The sequence below is a fragment of the Homo sapiens genome, chromosome 19 (genome assembly GCF_000001405.40).
Source record: "Homo sapiens chromosome 19, GRCh38.p14 Primary Assembly".
In the NCBI taxonomy this organism is placed as follows: Eukaryota; Metazoa; Chordata; class Mammalia; order Primates; family Hominidae; genus Homo; species Homo sapiens.
Window position 1 is genome coordinate 34,633,765 of NC_000019.10, and position 23,295 is coordinate 34,657,059.

Consider the following 23,295-nt stretch of genomic DNA (forward strand, 5'->3'; position numbering starts at 1 on the left):
GCGCAACAATATCTCAATAGAGCTTTAAAAAATGGCTCCACATAAAAAATCTGGGTCTCCTGCTTCTCTTGAAAAACCAGAAAATTTAGTACATATATAAGGGACTCCATAACTATTCTCATTCTTTGGAAGGGACAGCCCTGCTTCAATGGGAGCAAAGACTAGCGAGCAATAAAGCTTGTTTGTGAGTCACAGAAGTCACATGCCTAGACTCTGATCTCTCCTCTCTGTCCCGTTTCTTGCTTGTGTAGCAATGGCCTAGAGGTGAACAGCCACAACAGCCTCAGCAATCCAGAACACATTCAGATTATTTGCTCTGCCATTGACCTTGTGCACAGGAGACTAAATCTGGAAGTCCTGAAAATATCTGTGTACCCTCATGCCTCACAGCTATAGCACACTCTGGAAGCATGTTTAGATGGGGCACATACCCTCTATTTTGTTGCCCTGAGCTCTATGAATCACATGCAGTATGTGAATGTAATTATGGTGGTCTGCAATGGCCTCAGCCCACTCATGATTTCCTCCAGGGAAGCGGAGGGAGTACAGAGGTCTGCCTTCACTGAGCACCCTGGGTAACCTAAGGTACACTTGCCAGCTGGTAGAGGTGAAATGGCTTCTCCCACAGGTACTGGCAGTGACAGAACTCAGGTAAGAGCCTTGGGCAGGTTAGAAAGTGCAATGCAACTCCTGAAAGCTTCCCACCTACCTGGCACTCACACGGAATCTCTCCAGCATGGATGTCCAGATGTGAGATTAACTTTTGGCTGATTGATAGCTACTACACAAAGCTACTTTCAGAGCTTCTGTCCGGTGTCACCCACTATGTGGACCAAGCAGACAGCATCCTCCCTGCGTTCCAAGGCCTTCCTCCAGGGTGAACTTTCTGGCACCACATAGGCTGTTGGTTTAAGCCTTTTCTCCAGTGTGATTTTTTTTTTATATTTAATGAGGTTGGACTTGTGGCTAAATAATTTCCTACATTCACTACACTCATAAGGTCTTTTTCTAGTATGGACTCTCAGGTGTTGAACAAGTATAGATTTAACGCTGAAGGCTTTCCCACATTCGCTGCACACATAGGGCCTTTCACCAGTGTGAACTCTCTGGTGTAAAATGAGGCTGGATCTTTGGCTAAAAGATTTCCCACATTCTGTGCACTCACAGCCTTTCACCAGTGTGAACTCTCTGATGTGCAGTAAGGCCAGAGATTTGGCTAAAAACCTTCCCACATTCAGTGCACTTATAAGGCCTTTCTCCAGTGTGGATTCTCCAATGCCGAGCAAGTGTGATTTTGCAGCTGAAGCATTTCCCACATTCACTACACTTATAAGGCTTTGCCCCAGTGTGAATTCTCTGGTGTTCAATAAGGCCATAGCTTTGTCTAAAGGATTTCCCACATTCACTGCATTCATAAGGCCTGGCTCCACTGGGAACTCTCGGGTGTATAATCATGCTGGAATTCTGGCTAAATAATTTCGCACATTTGCTGCACTCCAGTGTGGACTTTCTCCAGTGTGGACTCTCTGGTGCTGAATGAGTGTGTGTTTGCTGCTATAGGCTTTCCCACATTCACTGCATCTGTAAGCCCTTTCTCCAGTGTGAAGGTTTTTATGCCTAACAAGGTGGGTGCTTCTGCTGTAGGCTTTTCCACATTCACTGCACCCATAAGGCCTCTCTCCAGCGTGAACTTTCTTGTGTTGAACAAGATGGGAGCTTTTTCTGTAGGCTTTCCCACATTCGCTGCACCCGTAAGGCTTTAAACCCATGTGAACTCTCTGGTGTACAGTAAGGCTAGAGTTATGACTGAAGAATTTCCCACATTCACTGCATTTGTAAGGTCTTTCTCTGCTGTGGACTCTCTGGTGCTCACAAAGCCTATTTCTGTGGCTAAAGGCTTTCCCACATTCACTGCACCTGTGATACCCTTCTCCAATGTGAAAGGCCTCCTTGCACTCAGTATTTCTGGGTGAATTCTGGGTCTGGTACTGGAGAAGGCCTGACCTGGGCAGGAGGTCCTTCTCACAGTACCCACATGTGAAGGGATTCACTGACATGTAGACTCTGCAGTTCTTAACAAAGCCCTATCCTTATCTCTGCTGAGGCATTTCTCTCCACTGTGCTGCCTCTGGTGCTAGGGGGTGTCTGTACTGACCCAGAATTGTCTCCCACATGCCCCCCGTGTGTGCAGTTTGTGCCCGGGGTGTATTCCCTGATGCTCAGCCAAGAGCAAAATGTCTTTCATGATTGGACCACAAATCCCACAAGGGGAGGCTTTCTGGGCAGCTGGACCTGCCTTAGGAGCCCTGACCTGTGACACTCCTTGAGAAGATGGCTCCTCATCCTCCATTAGAAACCAACAACCTGAAAGCAAAGAAATATTGAAGTATACATACAGCCTGGTGGGATCTACTGGGTTCATTGCAAGACTCCTGGTCTAGGACTGACTTTCGTGGGAGAGGCAGCCCTATCACAGTGTGTGTCTTACAAATGCAGGAACAAGTACACAGGACTCTTGGGGGGCTACGGGGGTTACAGGTGACAAAGAGTCTACTGTGCTAAGCCTGGCATCATGATACAATGGGGAGGTCTAGGGAGGAGCAAGGGCACAGCGATGGGATGCAGCCCAGGAAGGAGAGGCTGCATCTCCCTCTCACTTCTCTGCAATGGCTTTTAGCAGGAGCTTGTCTGCTGGTGACACAGGAGCACTGAACAAAAGGGTGTGTCCAGACTCAGGAAAACCAACTGCAACTGAGTAGCTGTTCAAGAACTACTTAGGCTATGTGAACATCTCACAAAACATTATGTGTAGCTCAGGGTTAGAGAACACTGCAGAGGGAACAGTGGAAAGGAAGGGGTGAGACCTGGAAATCAGAGAGGTGGGAGTCGGCCCTGGCCAGATTCAGTGTAGGAAAGAGAAATGGGCAAAATGTCAAGAATGCAAAACATAGAAAAGAGTTATGGCCCCTGCCCTTGGTATAAAAACAATGATGGACACTGGCAAGGTTGCTGGAATCATGAGAACTCAGCCCTGACGTTAAGCCATCCCTCACTTCCCACTTACCAGAGCCAGTCCCCGCCAGAGTCCCTCCTCCCATAGCTTTGTCAGGCATCCATGTCTCTTCCTCCAGCCCCAAGTGGACAACTACCTGAGTCTGGGAAGATGCAAGGCCTAAGGGAAAGACACGACAGGTGAGTGGACAGCAGGAGCGCAGAGTAACCCACCCCATGACAGACCCCAGGAAAGAAAACTAGTATTACAAAAAGAGCCTCAGAAGAAGATCCCATAGGAACAGCCCAGTGGTCCCTGAAAATAGTAACCACATTGGTCCTGCAATTCCCAGCACAGTGAGGCATGAGGAAATGCCACCAGGAGGGAAGGGGGCAGAATTGGGGGCAGAGAGGTACAATGATTCTGCATAGTCACTCTGCCAGGGCGAGGCCAAGCCTGGTGGGATCTATTGGGTTCACTGCAAGACTCCTGGCCCCCATCTCCTTCCCTGCAAGGCCTTAGGGCACCAGGTAGTGGGGCTGCCTGGGGAGGGGACAGAGAATGCACTCAGTCCAGCCCTGGCACCCACAGCATCTATGCAAGAAAAGCTAGGAAGGGAGCAATGTCCACAGCCTGGCTGTGGGAAGGAAACAGCAGCTCCTGGAAAAAAGCGGAAGCAAAGAGCCCAGCCTGGGATGCTGAGGTATGAGGGACTTACCCAGCGAGGCCACAAGTGCAAAGTTCTCCAGCATCACATCGCAGACAGACACCGGGTCCATCGTGAGTCCCTCGAGCTTCAATTCTTAAAAGTGCTACACTCCACAACTCATCATGAGACAGGCAAAATCATAAAAAAAAAATGGCTGGGTGATTTTTCTAAAATTGCTAAAATGGTTGATAATAAATATTTTGTGTTATTTATTTATATGGTTTTTATTTTTTCCTGATCAGATCTATAAGGCAAAAACTCTCTCTAGAGAGGAAAATAATGAATGTTTGGTTTGTCAAACCCGTAATTCTGGAAAGGCAATTAAAATTTCAGGTGGGAATACACCACCCGATGGGCTATTTAAAAATTGACAGATGGATTTCTCTCAATTGCCAACTTCAATGGCATATCAGTATGTTCTCTTAAGAGTTTGAATGTTTTCTGGTTGGGTAGAGGTAGGTAAGCTGAGGCTGTGACAGTAGTTTAAAAAGTCATTAGAAAGTTATTAGAAAATGTGTTTCCTTGCTGGGGCATCCCTGGAGAAATCCCCAGTGATAAAGGGAGACCATTTTACTTGACAAGTTATAAAGTAGTTATATAACATAAGATGTCATGGACACAGTGGCATTAACACTGTCCTTATCACCCTCAGTCTTCTGGAAAGGTCAAAAGGACAAATGGCATTTTGAAACTGAAATTGGGCTGGGTGCAGTGGCTCACGCCTGCAATCCCAGCACTTTTGGAAGCTGAGGTGGGCAGATCACTTGAGGTCAGGAGTTCGAGACCAGCCTGGCCAACATGGCAAAACCCCATCTCTACTAAAAATACAAAAAATTAGCCTGTGGTGCATGCCTGTAATCCCAGCTACTCTGGAGGCTGAAGCAGGAGAATTGCTTGAATCCAGGAGGTGAAGGTTGCAGTGAGCCAAGATTGCGTCACTGCACTCCAGCCTGGATGACAGAGGAAGATCCTGTCTCCAAAACAAAAAAAAAAAGGAACACCCATCCCCCCCCAAAAAAACAAACAATGACAACAACAAAAACAAAAACAAAAACAAAACTGAAATCGGCAAAGCTCATTGAATTGATTATATTTCCACGGCCAACTGTATTACCATTGGCCTTGATAGCAATCAGATTCATCCCCACCAGAAAGCATAAATTGGCCCCTGATAAAATAGTCACTGGAAAGTTTATGCCCCTAATAATAGAATTTCACTCTCTTAAACTCTGATATGACTAAATACTTCAAAGGTTTAATGCCAAAATATATTATCACCAGGTAAAGGAAGCTTTTCATGATCCACCAATGAGAACAATCAAGCCCTGCATGATTTGGAATCTGGAGATTGGGTCTTCTGGAAATGATATCAGAGGAAGATTGCCCTTAAACCCCAATAAAAGGGACCATATCAAGTTCTTCTTCCCACCCAAATTGCAGTAAAACTTCAGGGTTGCAAACCTTAGATCTACATCACACAATTCAAAGGGACCTCTGCAGACTCTTGAAGTTTTTCTCCAGAAGCAGACAGCATCTTACATATGTACAGCTCTCCTAAGACCATGGGCCAAGACTTACCTCCATCCTGAAAGCCGTATCCTTTTACTTTTTTTCCCCTAATTTTCTTCTGCCCCAATTATTTCCTTTTCCTTACAGGAAAATCCATGGGACCATAATCTGTGGATAGCTTTACCTAAGGCTTATTCTGTAGCAAAAAACTTGAGTAATCCTTGGGCTTGTGGGTTAATGCCAAAAACTCAAGAAGCAATTTCACAAATGCCAATGCCTCCCTGTGTTCCCAATTCACCCTGACGCTCCAAAGGAAGAACAGAAAGCTATCTTGATATTCTAGACATCACTACCACTTGTTTTCCTACACTTGCTGGAAACAATATCCTAACCTTTCCAATTAGTAACCTAATCACTACCAAATATAGAAAACACATTCGAGTGATGCCTGCAAAAGATGTATTATGCTTCCAGGCATCACATACTCAAGATCTGGGGACTATGTATGCAGGCTATTCGTGCATAGTATCATAAGTAATTGCTATATAATGTCACCAGAACAAATCCAGTAGGGTCCTTCTTCATGTGGTTATACACCTTAACAGCATGCTGTAAAGGGACCACAAAGAATTTTCCCACTGAACTTTGTTCAGGAGCCATCAGGCTTACAGGTCAAATTTAACTTACTTCTGCTCAAACACCACCAGGAGGCGCTCTTTTCCAATGCTTGAGGACCTATCTTGGGTCCGCAGAGAATTTGCTTACCCTTTCTTCCTCTTCACTGGTTTAGATCTTGCTCTTTGATGGGTCTCACTCCTGCCTTTTGAATAGCTTCCTCTGACAGTTCCCATAATACCTTCCATAATCAGAGGCCAAAACAGTAAACAAAATGATCATCGGCCTTGAAAGAGACTAAGATAAGCTAGTTTCTACTGAGGAAAGGTTCCAGTGGGGTTCCTGAGGGCTTGCTCTTGGTGGTAGTAGGGTGCTGGTAGTGTGGAATTCAGAACAGATCCATAAATTGGGGAAAATCTTGGACTTTATGGCCAACCAAACCTTCCAGTGGTTCAGTAGAAGCCACCCTCCAAAAGGTAGATGATAACCTATGCATCTAACAAAACACTTAATAGAATATCATGCAGCTTAATTTATTTGAGATAAGGTCTTGCTGTGTCACCCAGGTGGGAATACAGTGGGGCTCACTGCAGCCTCGACCTCCTGGACTCAAGGGATCCCCCCACCTCAGCCTCCTGAGTATCTGGGATCACAGGTGTGCACCAGACCTGGCTAATTTTTAATTTCTCTTTTTTTTTTTAAATAGAGACAGGGTCTCCCTATGTTGCCCAGGCTGGTCTCAAACTCCTGGGCTCAAGTGATCCTCTCATCTTGGCCTCCCAAAGTACTGGGATTACAGGTGTGAGCCCCTGCACCCAGCCTCATGCAGCTTTACATCATTTTGATCATGTTGGGGACTTGTGCTGAATCAAACTGAGTGCTGTATCTACACTTCCCCTGATTTTGCTACTATGGAAAGCTTAATTTAAAAGGTGGCTATTTCTTTAGATACTTTTATCAAATACATGAAGAAAATTTCAATAGATGAAGAAAAAAAATTTTTTTTAACTCTGGTAAAATATACATAGCATGAAGTTAATCATTTTAACTATGTTAAGTGTATAGTTCAGTGGCATTAAGTACATTCACGATGTTGTGCCACCATCACCACTATCGATGTCCAAAACTTTTCATGAATGGCAAGCTTAGCTTTTCCAGGGTTTTTGAATCTTTATGTTTTTTTCTGGTGGGTCTCCAGGTTACTATGACTTACAGTACCAGGCTAATGACATAAACTGATACCTCTTTATTATTATTTTTTTCCAGATGTGAAATTATAAATGCAGGGACTTAGAGCTCATACAACTTTAAAAAGGTTGGGAAAGTGAAGTTATCACCACTTGGTTATATCTCCTAAGGAAACTAATTTGAGGTCTCCCCTTCTCAATTTTTCCTTCTTTATAGGTACTATTAATGCCCTAGCCCAGCAACCTGACTTATTATTGAATATATTCGGGGTGTGATGGTGAATACTTAATCACCATCACACCCCAAACAAAGATTATGACCAATTGGACTCAAATACTATTGAGCTGCTTATATGCCTGGACTTTGACTTGTTTGGTTTTGACTGGTTTTGTTCATAGGGCCTCCTGTGAAGGAGTACACTTTGGTCTCTTGGTATTATTTTCTGGTAGTCATCGTAATAGTCCCCCTGGTGCACTGTATCCTGTCAAATCTTAAATGTGTGTATGCAGACATCCATTGTGCACTGAATGGTCTCCCTTTGGCTAGATCAGCAAGAATACAATTATTTAACTGATCTGACATCATGACTTGTGAATTCCGTGCTGAGGCCAAGTAAGTCTAATACAATGGTGACAGACAGTGTCAATGCCCAGGGTTTTGGTCACTATGTCAAAATCCAATGGCTGACCCAAAGTGGGGAATTGGCAAATTGAACTAAATTTGGCCTGAGGCTGTCTCCATATCTTGAGTCCTCGTGGAGCTGGTTTGGAGTTTCGTTTTGGAATTTGGTAGCGGAAGGTCAAGGTCGTTTGCCAGATGGCTATAACTTCTCTTTATGCTCAAAGATCTTGACAGTATGTAAATTGGGTGATCACCTTTTCTATTTCTAGTTTTGGTTGATCTTCTGTTAGGTTTGACCAACTCTTGGCCCCTCTTATGTCGACTAAAACTCCTGCAGCTGCAGAAAGTCAAGTTCCAGCACTAGAAACAAGGACCAGTTAAGAGAAATCATTTTACCCCAAAAATATATTTCTTTGACATATTTTGAAGGGACCCTGCTAGATCTTTCCTAGTCTAGATCTAGGAAAGATTAGCTAAAGGTCTTCATTCTGAAGGCTCCCATATGTACACATTAAATAAATTTGAATGCCATTTCTTCTAAAAATCAATCTTCCTCATGTCAGTGATTTACAGTAAACCTTTCAGGGGCTAAGAGCCTTGTCCCCACAGTTTTGGTGCAGCAAGCAGGGTCTCCAATGCCACTCTGCTGTTTTGGAAGCTGCAGTGAAGGGAACCCAGGAAGCTGACAAGCTGGCAAAAAGGGTAAAAACTTCTTACCCGACAGGCTTCCAGCCTCTCTTTCTGTGCAATTTAGTTGAGCAGACGATAAAAGATCAGTTCTGTCTCAAAGGATTTTGTTTTTCTTTTCTATAAAGGCAAAGGGCTAGTGGGAGATCCTCAGTGTCCTCAGTATCACTGGGGACTCCTGCAATGCTACCCACAGGAGAGCCCCTCCACCCTTGTGGGCCCTAAAACTAACATAGGGAGCTGCTGAAAGATTGTACCATGGCACATATGTGAGGTTTTCTTCAAAACAGATTGTGTTGCAGGAACTGAAACACCACCAAAAACAATCCCATTAAATGTGGGCAAAGGGGCCGGGCCTGGTGGCTCACACCTGTAAGCCCAGCACTTTGGGAGGCCAAGGCAGGTGACTCACGAGGTCAGGAGTTCAAGACTAGCCTGGCCAACATGGTGAAACCCTGTCTCTACTAAAAATACAAAAAAATTAGCCGGGCATGGTGGCGGGTCCTTGTAATCCCAGCTACTTGAGAGGCTGAGGCAGGGAATTGCTTGAACCCAGGAGGTGGAGGTTGCAGTGAGTCGAGATCGTGCCACTGCACTCCAGCCTGGGCGACAGAGCAAGACTCCGTCTCAAAAAAAAAAAAAAAAAAAAAAAAAGTGGGCAAAGGACATGAACCAACATCTCTCTAAAGATGACATACAAATGACCAACACGTATATGAAAAAATGCTCAGAATCACAAATTATCAGAGAAATACAAATAAAAAACAATGCAATATCACTTCACCCAAGTTAGAATGGCTGTTATTAAAAGGACAAAAACCAACAGACGCTAGTGAGGATATGGAGAAAAATGAACTCTTAGATACTATTGGTGGGAATGTAAATTAGCACAGTCACTATGGAAAACAGTATGGACATTTCTCAGAAAACTAAAACTAAAACTATCATACAATCCAGCAATCCCAGTACCGGTTATCTATCCGAAAAGGAGGAAGTCAGTCTATCAAAGGGATTCCTGCACTTGTATGTTTATCACAGCACTGTTCACAATAGCCAAGATACTCATTCAACCTAAGTGTCCATCAGTGGGTGAATGGATAAAGAAAATGTGGTACATATACACAATGGAATACTATCCCTATATTATTACTATAAAAAAGAGTGAAATCATGTCTTTTGCAGCAACATGAATGGAACTGGAGAAAATTATGTTATTTGAAATAACCCAGGCATAGAAAGACAAATACCACATGCACTCAATCATGTGTGGGAGCTAGAAAAGTTGACCTCATAAAGGTAGAGAGTAGAAGGATAGACACTACAGGCTGGGAAGGGTGTGGGTGGGGGGAGATGAAGAGAGGGAGGTTAACGCATGAAAGCCTACAGTTAGATAAAAGGCATAAGTTCCATCATTCGATAGCAGAATAGAGTGACCATAACTAACAACCAAACATTGTGTATTTCAAAGTAGCTGGAAGGGAGGACTTGAATTGTTCCCAATGCATAGAAATGATAAATACTCCAAGCGATGGACCCTTCAAATACCCTGACCTTATCATTACACATTCTATGCCTGTAACAAAATACCTCATGTACTCCATAAACATGGAAAATATTATGTATCAATTAAAAAAAACTATTCCTAGAATGATGGTAAAAGGAGAACATTAGACAATTTCTGTTCAATGAGGATAGTCCAAATTTGAGTAAAAGTTTCAAAAAAATATTAATTTAAGGAGAAAAATTGGTAGAACACCTGATGAAGATAAAGATGGACAATGTGAGGTCTAAATATCCACAAGAAGTCAGAAAGTTAAGCAGAAAAAAAAAAGAAGACAATTACTTTCTACAGAAAAAGAAAAAAGGCTGTACAAGAAGGTAGGAAAGGTAATTACAGTGTACTATATATCCCATCTGTGAATAACATTTATACCTTTATGAGTATATCAACAACAGAAGATTTGTGATTTGTGATTTATGATTTGTGATTATATCAACAACCAAAGTTTTGCAGAACTCTATTGGGATGATGGGTAACGTGGCATACGAGCAGACAGATAACTAAATCTTCCACTTCATCTGCAATATTGGAAAGTCAACAGATAGTGCCTAAAATAAAAATTTTGTTTGTAGAGGCAGGGTCTCACTATGTTGCCCAAGATGGTCTCAAACTTTTGGCCTCAAGAGATCCTCCTGCCTCAGCCTCCCAAAGCACTGGGATTACTGGTGAGTGCCACCTTGCCCAGCCCCAGCCTTGTTTTTTTGTTTTTTTTTTTGTTTTTTTTTTTTTACTCTGGTAAAATATACATAGCATGAAGTTAAATCATTTTAACTTTAAGTGTAAAGTTCAGTGGCATTAAGTAAATTCTCAATGTTGTGCCACCATCACCACTATCGATGTCCAAAACTTTTTCATCATTTCAAACAAAAATTCTGTACCCATCAAGAAATAACTCCCCAGGCTCTGCCCTGCCCCCTTGTAACCTCTCTTCTACTTTTGTTTTATAGAGTTAGTTGCTTATTCTGGGTAACTCATATAAGTGAAACCATACCACATTTGTCCTTTTGCGTCTGGCTTATTTCACTTCGTTTTATTTCTTAAGTGTCAGCCATGTCACACATATAGAAAAAGTTCATCTTTTTCGCCAAATTATATTAATATATCACATGTATTCATTTATGTGCTGACGGACACTTAGGACATTTCCATGGACTCACATAATTTGATGCAAGTAGAAACATTTATAATTAACACAATATTTTATGAAAGGCTCATATGTAATAAGTACTATTAACTGAGTGCCCACTTTGCAGAACCTGTGTGAGGGGCTTTATATAAACTGAAGCACAACGAGCTTGGGAGGTGGGAATTGCTGTCAGTTTCACAGATGAGCAAGCTGAGTTTCTGTGTCTTCAGAGCTGAAAGTGCCTCACCCAAGTGTGCAGTCCAGAGCCTGTGCTCCTTCCACTGCACGCCCAGGTGTCGCTCATGAACACAGACACAGGGAGAAACACACACACGAACCCAGATGTCTACCCAGAAATATCTTCGTGAAGGGACAATAAACGCACAGGCAAACATTCAGACAAACTCACTTAGCAAATGTTTGTTGAGCCTGGACTCGGTGGCAGATTCTGATCTAGGGGATGCCAGGTGCAGATACATTTGCCAAGACACAGGGTCATGCCCCAGGGGCTCCTGGGCACACATGCACACACAGACCTGCGCGCTCACACCACAGTGCTCAGCCCGTTCCCAATCCCAGGACACTCCAGGGAGGACAGAGACTGTCACGCCAACACCCAACCCCTCCCACTGCAGGCTGAGCTGAGTTCCTGATATGCTGCCAGCCCAACAGCATAGCCAAGGGCCCTGGGTCTCTCTGCAGACCTGCCCTGACCCCACTTATGTGCATACACAGACACACAGACACACACAGACACACACAGACACAGACACACACACACACACACACACACACACACACGAAGGTGTGTGTCAGTTGTCCAGATACACATAAAGCTCATCCATGGCCAAGTCCCTGCCTCTGCCTGCTGGGACCAGACTCCACTGTCATGAGGATGACACCCACCGCCTGTGCTCTTCTGCTGGCTCTAATCTGCAGCGTCCAGCTGGGTGAGAAAGAAGCGGGCAGGGCTGAGAGGAAACAGGTGGCCCTGCTCCTTCACCGTCATTGCCATCCCAGGGTCTCAGCTGTCACTATTGCAGACATTTGCCAGGGGAGGTTTCAGTGAATTCTGACCTCTGCTGCTTTCTTATCTTGCCTCATCCACCACAGGGGATGCCTGCCTGGATTTCTATAAGTTGTTTGGGAGAGTTGCTTTTGCATACCCAGAGGACCTGAAGCGGGAGCTTGCTCAATACAACCCCAGCCCCCTGACAGAGGAGTCCTTCCTCAAGTTCTAGCAATGCTTTGCCTCTGTTTCATTCCCAGAAAGCCTTGCTGTTGTTGGAATATGGTAAGTGTGCCCTGGGGAACCTGCACATGCTGCACAGCCACAAGTCCCAGGCCTTATGCCCTGCACTTACCTTCCCTTCCTGCTTGCCATATCCTGAGCAGGAAGCCACATCCCAGGATGCTCATGATCAGATGAAGGTGCCCACAGGCCTCAACAGGGCCTCCTGCCTCACCTTTTTCAGCCCTGAACCCAGACACTGCAACCCTGCAAGGGGAGAACCTCTGCCCCTGGTGCCCGGGAGAGGCCCAGGGACACAGGGAACCACAATCACTACATCAATGCACTGATGATGAGCACACAGCAACACACACTCACACAGGATGCTGTTAACAGCAACACACACACTCCATGCCTGCACAGGCACATGCATACACGTGTGTTACACCAACACATGCAGAGTCACACTCAAGCAGGAGTCACAACCCACACTCACTGTGTTTGTCCAGAGCCTGGGATCCCCAAGAAATGGACAGACCTTAAGGAGCTCCTCTGACCTCTGGGACTGGGTGTTAATGATGGGTCTGGGGATGCTTTCACAGAGGCTCCCAGGTCCCCACTTTATTTCTTTCCCAACAGTCTAGGATCGTTGTCAGCGATGACTGCAAAGATGTGTAGATACTTCCTTCTGATCTGAGGACCCCTGCAACCCACCTGGCCCTCCCTTCCTCAGGGCTCCCCACACTCCTGGCCTGACTCTATCCATCAACAAACAATCCCCAGTAAACACCTGCAGCTCAGCTCTGTATTCTGGCGTCTCTGTGGGGTTGGCTGTGACCACATATGCAGTGTGTGACCAGGGTCTGCCTGCGAAATTACGTGACTGAGGAAGAACTCAACAGGAATGTGTACACATGTGTGTTTTCTGAGCCCAGGAAATCAACCCTAACACAATCCTCCATCTCCTCCTACCCAAGTCCTCCTTCTCTCTACCCCCAGCACAACCCCACCCCGCCTTGACCCAACCCCCCAGGACTCCAGATGCTGGAGGCTGGGAAACCTTGCCCTCCTGGCTGAGTCACAGGCCTCAGCGTCCCCATAAATACCTGCAGCTCAGCTCTGCTCCTCGGGCTGTTGGGACCAGGCAATCTGCATGAAGCCATGGGGGTCTCTGTGGCCATGTGACCATGACAGGGGACACTGAGGTCACAGGGAACGAGCACCACTCTCAGGCATGGTGCCTCTGTCCCACCTCACCCTTCAGTTGATTTCGTCCTCGCTGGAGGTCTCAGTGGCCTTCAATGCATTGACAAGGCTCCACCAACTCCCTCTGGGGAAGGTCCCTCCCCAAACCTCAGGCCCTTTCTGCAGGCTCCTTGGATCTCCTGGGCAATGGCCACCTGTGCCCATCAGCCCACACTGCCCTAAACTCCTCTGTCTCCCTCCCAGACTCTCACTGCCCCAAATATCCTTTCTCCTCTCCACTCATTCTTTTTGTTACCTCTCAGCTGTCATTTCCTCCCGGGTCAGACATTTCTGGCCCCCATCTCAGGCCACGTCTTCTCGCCTTTGTCCCCAGAATTGCCTTCACTTAACACACTGTCTGCCCCAGTCATCACCCATGCACTCAGCCAGGGAAGGAGTGTCTCCTGCCACAGGTCAGGCCTTTTCCCAGAGCCGGACACCCCATGAAGAACAAGGCAGATGAGGGCGCTGCTTCCCTGAAGTTCACATCCAAGGTGAAGAGGGGGTTGTAAAGCTGAAGAAAATTGTAATAGTGATGAGAACCACAAGGACCACCCAACAGGGAAATGTGATCGGGTGGGACTGGCTTGGGGTGCCACATTGGGTCAGGTGGTCCCAGAAGGCACGTGAGGAGACATCTCCCGAGTCCTGAATAACCTGAGGCAGCCACCAGGTGAAGGTCTGGGGCAGAGAATGCAGCATGATGAGAAAGGGTTTAGTGTGTCGGAGAAATGGCCAGTGTACCTGGAACAAGGGGCAGTGGGGAAGGGGGTCACGTTGGGCTGGAGCAGCTGGGTGGATGCGATGCCACTCCTGAGAGGTGAAGCCTGGGGAGAAGCAGGTTTAGGGCAAAGATCCGGAATCCCACACTGGCCTGGATAAGTTTCCAATCAAGATATCCATTAGCCATCCAGGAGGATGAGACACAGAAACTGTGAGACACGCTAGTTTGGAGCTCATGGGAGACTCAGGCCTGGAGACAAAAATATATGCTTTCAACATGTAGGTGGAATTTAAATCCATGGAGATAAAGACAAGAATAAATCTCATGTTATTTAATTCAGACACACATAACATTCAGCTTTTAACGATCAAAGGCCACGAGTTTCAACTATAAGTTAATGAAAACAGTTAAAAATGTCCTGAGAAATTTTGGACAAAGAAGCTGTTGATGTAAGTTCTCTGAGGATGCAAAAGCATTTCACATGTGTTTGAAAGAATAAGGAAAATGTTAGAGAATATTTGTCTGGTTACCATGAGTCTACCCATAATCTGTAAGTTGTCATGAAATTGAATAATTTCTTAAAATTACAATGTCCTTTAATCAAAACATATTTATTGCCAAGCTATGCTTTTTAAATTAATTTTGTTCATATTTATCTAGATGGCAAATCCACAGAATATATTATGTTAAATTATGATCTTTGTATTAACGTTAAAATTTTGTGATGTGTCTTTTTCCTTTTTTCCACAGTTTTAATATATTACTCTTTAATATTTTTAAACTTCATACTTTTTTGGTTATTAAAATGAATTTTTTAAATGCAAAAAGAACATGTTGCATTATTTATTTTAGAAATTCCCCTCTTTGTGTTGGACTGCAAATTCAGTTTCTCTTTGGATTGTTCTTTTTTATTTTATGATTTATTTTATTTATTTATTTATTTATTTTGAGACGGAGTCTTGCTTTGTCGCCCAGGCTGGAGTGCAGTGGTGCGATCTCAACTCACTGCAACCTCCGGCTCCCGGGTTCAAGCGATTCTCCTGCCTCAGCCTCCCAAGTAGCTGGGATTACAGGCATGTGCCACCACACCCAGCTGATTTTTTGTATCTTTCTTTAGTAGAGACAGGGTTTCACCATGTTGGCCAGGCTGGTCTTGAACTCCTGACCTCGTGATCCGCCCACCTCGGCCTCCCAAAGTGCTGGGATTACAGACGTGAGCCACTGTGCCCAGCCTGGATCTTTCACAACTAGGACTGACACTGTATGTAAAAGTTCCGGAACAGTACAGAAGGTAAACAGTTTTTATGTATAACTTCAAAAAGGGAAGGAAAAAAGAGAGAAATCCTTTGACTTCCACGTGCCCATCTCAAGACATTCCACTCACAGATTTGAGGCTCTGGGTTCTGGGTTTGGAGTTTCAGTGTTAACCTGAACAGAACTGACACACACACATAAAGATGAGTGTAATGTGTAATTATTATTCCTCTTGCTGGTCACCACCATCACTTTCGATTTCTCTTTTTTTGTGTGAATTTACTTAAAAGAAAAAAAAACTTTTTGCAATAACTATTTGGAGTTTAAAAATCAATAAACCGGCCAGGTGTGGTTGCTTATGCTTGTAATCCCAGCACTTTGGGAGGCAGAGATGGGTGAATCATTTGAGGTCAGGAGTTCGAGACCAGCCTGACCAACATGGTGAAACCCCGTCTCCACTAAAAATACCAAAAAAATTTTAGCTGGGTGTGGTGGCAGGTGCTTGTAACCTCCGCTACTCGGGAGGCTGAAGCAGGAGAATCACTTGAACCTAGGAGCTGAACAGGCAGACCCAGCCTGATGCCCTTGGGACCTGATCCCACTGCCCTCTTCCTGTGCACCCCAGCTTTCCACTCTGTTGTGCCCCAATCTGTCAAGTTTCTTTTTGTCTCTGATCTCTGCTAGGGTGATTCCAATGCCTGACCATCTGTTCTTCTTCTTCAAGTCAAGGGTGAACCCTCAGCCCCACCATTTCCTCTTCCTCCACTCCTAAGTCATCCCCTAAGTGTCCTGAGGGCAATAACCGGGGCGTAAATGCCCTATGTGTCTCCAGCATGGGCTCTGCATGACTTCACTAGACACTGAGTCACACTGGTTGAGGTCAGAGGACAGAAAATCTAGCGAGAGAGGGACTGGAGCAAGAGGTGGAGCGTCTGACCCTTGTGGGGTGGTTCAGCTGCTGGGGCTGAGCATACCGGAGACCTGGAAACTCACCAGGCCTGACATTTACCTTTCTGCTTTAATCCCAAGAAACCTATGGAGATTGGGGATCTTCCAGCCGAGCCAACGGCAAAGATGAGGATTTCCTGGTGCCCCTTGGCCAAACCTCCTGCTCACCTGGCTGAGCCTGACTCATACCAGTATGTGGACCTGTGGTGTGGGTGGCAGCCACATCACTGCGGAATTGGGCTTCATCCAGGGTTGATTTTCCATGGTTAGATTTTTCCTCATAACAGTAGAGGCTGTTATGAACAATATGACAACAAATTAGAACACCTAGCAAAAATGTATAAATTCCTGGAAAAATATAACCTACCGGGATTGAGCCGAAAAGAAATCAAACTCCTGAACAGACCAATTACAAGTCAGAAATTAAATCTGTAATAAAATATCTCCTATCACAGAAAAGTCTAGATTCCAATGGCTTCATTGCAGAACTCAACCAAACGTTTAGGAAGAAATAACAGCAATTCTTCCTAAACTCTTCCTGAAAATTGAAGAGTACGGAATTCTTCCAAATTCATTTTACAAGACCAACATTATCCTGATACCAAAACCAGAGAAGCACACACAACAACAGAAAACTATAGGCCAATATCCATGATAAACACAGATGCAAACATTCTCCACAAAATACTAGCCAACCAAATTCAGCAGTACATTAAAGTAATCATTCCCCATGACCAAGTGGGATTCAACCCAGGGATGCAAGAATGTTTCCAGATACACAAATCAATAAAAGCAACACACTACACCAACAGAATGAGTACAAGAAGCATATGATCATCTCATTAGGTGTGGAAAAAGCATGATAAAATTCAATAGTCCTTAATGGTAAAAACTCTTAACAAACTGTGTATAGAAGGAATGTAGCCCAACACAGTAAATCAATGTATGGCAAACCCACAGCCAACATCATAGTGAATAGGGAGAAGTACAAAGCTCTTCCTCTGAGATCTGGAACAAGGCAAGAATGTCCACTTTCACCACTTTTATTCAATATAGTACTGGAAGTCCTAGCCAGAGTGATTAGGCAAGAAGAAATAAAGGGCATCCAGACTGGAAAGAAGGATGTCAAATTGTCTCTGCTTGCAGAGGACACGATCTTATGTACAGAAAACCCCTAAAGCACCACCAAAAATCTCTTAGAAAGAAAACCCCTAAAGCACCACCAAAAAAACTCTTAGAACTGATCAACGAATTCATTAAAGATGAAGGATACAAAATCAACGTATTAAAAGCAGTACCATTCCTGGACATCAACAACAAATTAGAAAAGAAATCGAGAAAGCAATCTTATATGAAATAGCTATTAAAAAAAGAAATGCTTCAGAATAAATTTAACAAAGAAGGTAGAAGACCTCTACCAAAACAACTATAAAATACTGAGGAAATCAATTGAAGAAGACACCAAAAAATGAAAACATATCCCATGTTCATAATTAGAAGGATCACTATTGTGAAAATGACCATGTTACCAAAAGTGATCTGCAGATTCAATGAAATTCCTATCAAAATATCAATGATATCTTCACAGAAATAGAAAAAATAATCCTAAAATTTATATGAAACTACAAAAGACTCTGAGTGGCCAAAGCAATCCTGAGCAAACAAAACAAAGCTGAAAGCATGGCATAACTTGACTTCAAAATAGACTACAAAGCTATAGTAAACAAAACAGCATGGTACTTGCATAAAAACAGACACATAGACCAGTGAAACTAAATAGATAACTCAGAAACACATCCAGCTGTTTACAACCAAGTGATTTTCAACAAAGGCACCAAGAACATTTACTGGTGAATGGACAGTCTCTTCAGTCAATGGTGCCTGAAAAACTGGATATCCGTATGCCAAAAAAAATGAAACTAGACCCCTATCTCTCATTATATTGATAAAATCAACTCGAAATAGTTTACAGACTTAAAAGCTGAAACTATGAAACTGCTTGAAGAAAACATAGGGGAAATACTACAATACTGATCTGGGCAAAGAGTGTATAGTGAAGAACCCAAAAGCACAGGCAACAAAAGCAAAAATAGGATAACTGGATTATATTAAACTAAAAAGCTATTGCACAGCAAATGAAACAATCAACAGAGAGAAGAGACAACTTGCAGAGAAGAGACAACTTGCAGAATGGCCAAAAAAATTGTAAACTATTCATTCAACAAGGGATTAAGATCCAGAATACACAAGAAACTCAAACAATTCAATGTCAAGAAGAAAAACTACAAGTAATCTGATGTAAAAATGGATAAATTAGCTGAATAAACATCTCTCATAAGATGACACATACATATGGCCAACAGGTATTTTTAGATGAGATCTGGCACGTTCAGGGTGGTATGGCCATAGACACCAACAGGTATTTTTAAAATGCTCAACATCACTCATCATCAGGAAAATGCCAATCAAAACCACATTCAGATATCACCTCACCCCAGTTAGAATGGCTACTATGAAAAAGACAAAAGATACCAAACGCTGGTGAGGAAGCAAAGAAGAGGGAACTCTGGTGTGCTGTTGGTGGGAATGTAAATTAGAACAGTTATTATGAAAAACAGTATGAGGGTTCCTCAAAAACTAAAAATAGATTTACCATATGATCAAGAATCCCATTACTGGGTACACATCCAGGCAAAAGGAAATCAGTATATCAAAGAGATATCTGCACTCTCATGTTTATTGCAGCACTGTTCACAATGGACAAAACATGGAATCGACTTAAGTGTCCATGAACACGTGAACAGATGAAAAAAAATGTGGTATACATACACAATGAAATAGGATTTAGCTATGAAAAAGAATAAAATGCTGTCATTTGCAGCAACATGGATGAGCTTGGAGTCATTGTTTTAAGCAAAAGAAGCCAGGTACAGAAGGATGAATCCTATGTGTTCTCACTCACATGTGGAAGTAAAAAAGCTGCTCTCATAGAAGAAGAGTGTAGAATAATGGTTACTTGAGGCAGGAAGTAGTTGGGGGAGGTGGGACTATAGCCAAAAGTTGATGGATGGATACAAAAGTGCAGCTAGATAGGAAGACTAACTTCTAGTGTTCTATAGGATTGTAGGGTGAGTGTAATATACAATTTATTGTATATTTTCAAATACCTAGAAGAGCAGATACTGCATGTTCCCAATACGAAGTAATGATCAATGTTTGAGGAGGTGTATATGCTAATCACCCTGCTTTGGTCATTACACATTGTATGCATGTATTGAAATACCACTGTAACCCATAAATATATACAATTATTACTGCATCCATTTAAAATAATAATAAAAGCAAAAGAAGAAAAGAAAAAAAGCTACAGTCTAATATCCACAATTAAATCTTCAATAACATAGTAGAAAACCAAGTTCAACACACATTAACAGAATTATACAATATGACCAAGTAGACTTTATCCCTGAAATAAAAGAATAGTTCAACACATGCCAATGAATCAATATGACATTCCACATTAACAAAATAAAGAATAAAAACCACAGGATCACCTTAAAAGATGCAGAGAAAGCACTTGATAATATTCAATATCCATTCATACTGAAACCATCACCAAAATAGATACTGAAGGAACTTACCTCAACACAAATATGGTAATATATAAAAACCCACTGCTAACATCATAATCAATAAAGAGAAATTGAAATCATTTCCTCTAAGATCAGGAACAAGATGAGGATGCCTACTCGTACCACTCGTATTTAACATGGTACTGGAAGTCCCACCCAGAGCAACGAGGCAAGAAAAAAAAAGCCATCTAAATCAGAAAAAAAAGAAGTAAAACTTTATCTCTTAGAAGATCACATGATGTTGGTTGTGAGATGTGTTCATTATTTTGATTATTATGGTAGTTGTTCTGATTTTTACAAGTGTCAAAAGTTACAAATTATATACTTTAGACAAACATACTTGTTATATGTAAAATATATTTCAATAAAGCTATTAAAACAAAAAAATTAATTTAATAAACATATACAAGATTTTAAAATAAAATTAGAATCAACTTAATAGGTTAATGAAGAGAGAAACATCAAAAAGAAACATTTAGTTAATACTTTAAATGATACTATTTAAAGCTCAACTTCCCCAAAACTCAACTGTTTATGTAAAGCTAATGAGAGACCATCAGGCTAGGATAGAGGAGCCTTAATTTGGCCAAAGTACAAACAAAAGTTACAAATTATACACTTTAGATAAACATACTTGTTACAGGTCAATTATATGTTAATAAAGCTATTAAAACAAAAAATTAAATTTAACAAACATATTAAATAATTGCCAGCAATTATTCTGGCAGTCACACAGATATGCAACTTCTCCAGTTACTTCTGCAGATACCATCACTATTTTAGAACCTGAGATTGGCCTTTTGAGAAGTCTTTTCAGGTTTTTTTGTATGTCTAACACCAATGGCTCCACCTAGATTCACCAGCTGTTCCTGTGGCCCCACCCAGAAGGAACTGCATGCAAAAAGACAGCTTCAACTCTCTATGAATTCATCTCCAATCCAAGAAATCAGCACTCCACATACCCTAGCCCCCAGCCCACCAAGAGTCTTTGAAAAACCCCTAGCCTCTGGGCCTTCAATGAGATCACTTTGATGTTAACTCTGTTTCCCCCATGGCATGGCCAGCCTCCCATCAATTAAACCCTCTGCAATGCCACGGTCTCCCTGAATTGATTTGTTTGTGCAGCAGGCAGGAAGAATCCTTCGGGCACTTACACCACTCCAATCTTATGTAAATTCTTCCAAAGAATAAACAATGAGGGTACATTCTCTGTACCAATCAGTGTCCCTGCAGGAAGGAAATGGCACACTCATGCAGGACATAGGACAAGAGTTTAATGAATGGCTGTAAACAAAAAATAAAATTCTAAGGCCCCCAACCATCTGAATGGACCCCTCCTCTTGGCCAATGGCATTCCAAAGTTAACCTGAAAAACTAGTTCAGGTGAAGATGGAAGGAGGAGTCAGACCTGCCTCATTATACCCAATTCCCTTTTGGAATTCAGGAAAAGCTGACCAAGGTTTAACATCAACACAGACCTTAAGTCTGATAAGAAACATTTACAAATCTATTCGTTCTGAAGCCTGCTACCTGGAGGCTTAATCTGCAGGATAAAACCTTGGTCTCCACAAACCCTTACCACAACCCAGGCATTCCTTTTTATTGACAATAACTCTTTGAACCAATTGCCAATCAGAAAAATTTTAAAACTACCTAAGACCTGGATGCCCCCCCAACCCCACTTCAAGTTGTCCTCTTGCCCTTCCAGATGGAACCAATGTAAATCTTACACGCACTGATTGATGTATTATGTCTCCCTAAAGTGTGTAAGAGCAAGCTGTACTCTGACCACCTTGGGCACATGTCATCAGGACCTCCTGAATCTATGTCATGGGCAGATCCTTAGCCTTCGAAAAATATTTTCTAAGTTGATTGAGACCTCTCTCAGATACCTTCTGGTTCACAGGCTTATGGCTGTGCTGTGAGCAAAGTTAAGGGAAACCAATAAGAAAAGTGAGAAACCCAAGGCAAGCAAGAGCAACATATCTAACGAGAGGCAAGGAAAAGGAGCCATTTCTACAATCCAGTAAGACATGTAACTGCAGGAGAGGCCAAGGTCACAGGAGGAATGCAGCCACTGCCAAACTGTAGCCCTGAAAAAAACCAAAGGGCAACATTGCCCAACAATGCAATCCAGAAAAGATCAGGTCCTGGGGTACAAAGCAGGCTATGGAATGAAGACTAACCCTGTTGGAATAAATATACATCACCTCTACATCCCCCAATTCATAATGAGCTGGTATCATGTTGACACCAAAATCCAACCACTCAAGGACATAGACAAAATGTTCTATGCAAGATATTGGCAAAGTGAATGAAATTACATATAAAGAAAACTATATGCTGATTAAGGAGGATTTACACCAGCAACGCACGGTAGGTTTCAAATTACAAAATTATTTGATGTAATTTAACACATTCAGAGCCTAAGGGAAAAAACTGTATGCATATTTCATTAAATGCAAGTGAGATATGTTATAAAATTCATCTTTTCTTGATTTAAAAAATTCCTTTACAGAGGGTGCAGTGGCTCATGCCTATAGTTCCAGCACGCTGGGAGGCCGAGGTGGGCAGATCACTTGAGCCAGGAGTTCAAGACCATGTTGGGCAATATGGCAAAATGTTGTCTCTACAAAAATTACAAAAATTAGCCAGATGTGGTGGCACCCACCTAAAATCCCAGCTACTCGGGAGGCTGAGGTGGGAGGATCGCTTAAGCCCAGGAGGATGAGGCTGCAGTGAGCCATGACTGCACCACTGCACTTCAGCCCAGGTAACAAAGCACAACCTTGTCTCAAAGAAAATTTAAAAATTCTCTTAGAAAATAGAAGTAGCATAATATATCTTAATCTAATGAAGACCACCTACGAAAAAAATCTGATGTTAAACTTCTTATGTAATGGTGAAATATCAAAAGCTATCCTTTAGAATCTGAACGAAGGGTAACCAGAAATACTTTTAAAATGTTGTATAACTTTCTTATAAGCCTAAAATTATGTGAAATTTAACAATTTATGTAAGATAAAATGCTATCAAGAGCAAAAGAAAGAAACAAGCAAAAAAGAAATTCATCTTGAGTTCAGATACTAAACAAAAATGCCTACTTTCACCATTGCTATCTAACATTGTACTAGAGATTCTACAAGTGGAATAAAGCAAGACAAGTAAAATATATGAAGATTGAGGAGGAAAAAGCAAATATGCATTAGATATATTTATATAAATAATCTTAGAGCATCTACAGAGAATATAT

General features: G+C 42.6%; 1 protein-coding gene and 4 pseudogenes across 24 annotated transcripts in view; 1 reads left to right on the plus strand and 4 right to left on the minus strand.

Annotated features, from left to right (window-relative positions):
- ZNF807P (zinc finger protein 807, pseudogene) overlaps positions 1–23,295 on the minus strand; it is a 135,468-nt pseudogene that overhangs the window by 92,073 nt on the left and 20,100 nt on the right. The window lies entirely within an intron of this gene.
- Positions 1–23,295, minus strand: part of SCGB1B2P (secretoglobin family 1B member 2, pseudogene) — a 100,431-nt pseudogene that overhangs the window by 57,036 nt on the left and 20,100 nt on the right. The window lies entirely within an intron of this gene.
- Positions 1–23,295, minus strand: part of SCGB2B2 (secretoglobin family 2B member 2) — a 91,631-nt gene that overhangs the window by 48,236 nt on the left and 20,100 nt on the right. The gene's annotated exons all lie outside the window — the stretch shown is intronic.
- On the minus strand, positions 1,249–2,368 carry LOC100130632 (zinc finger protein 530-like; annotated as a pseudogene).
- On the plus strand, positions 12,109–12,288 carry SCGB2B3P (secretoglobin family 2B member 3, pseudogene; annotated as a pseudogene). The gene has a single exon (NR_045208.1). The product of NR_045208.1 is annotated as a secretoglobin family 2B member 3, pseudogene (transcript).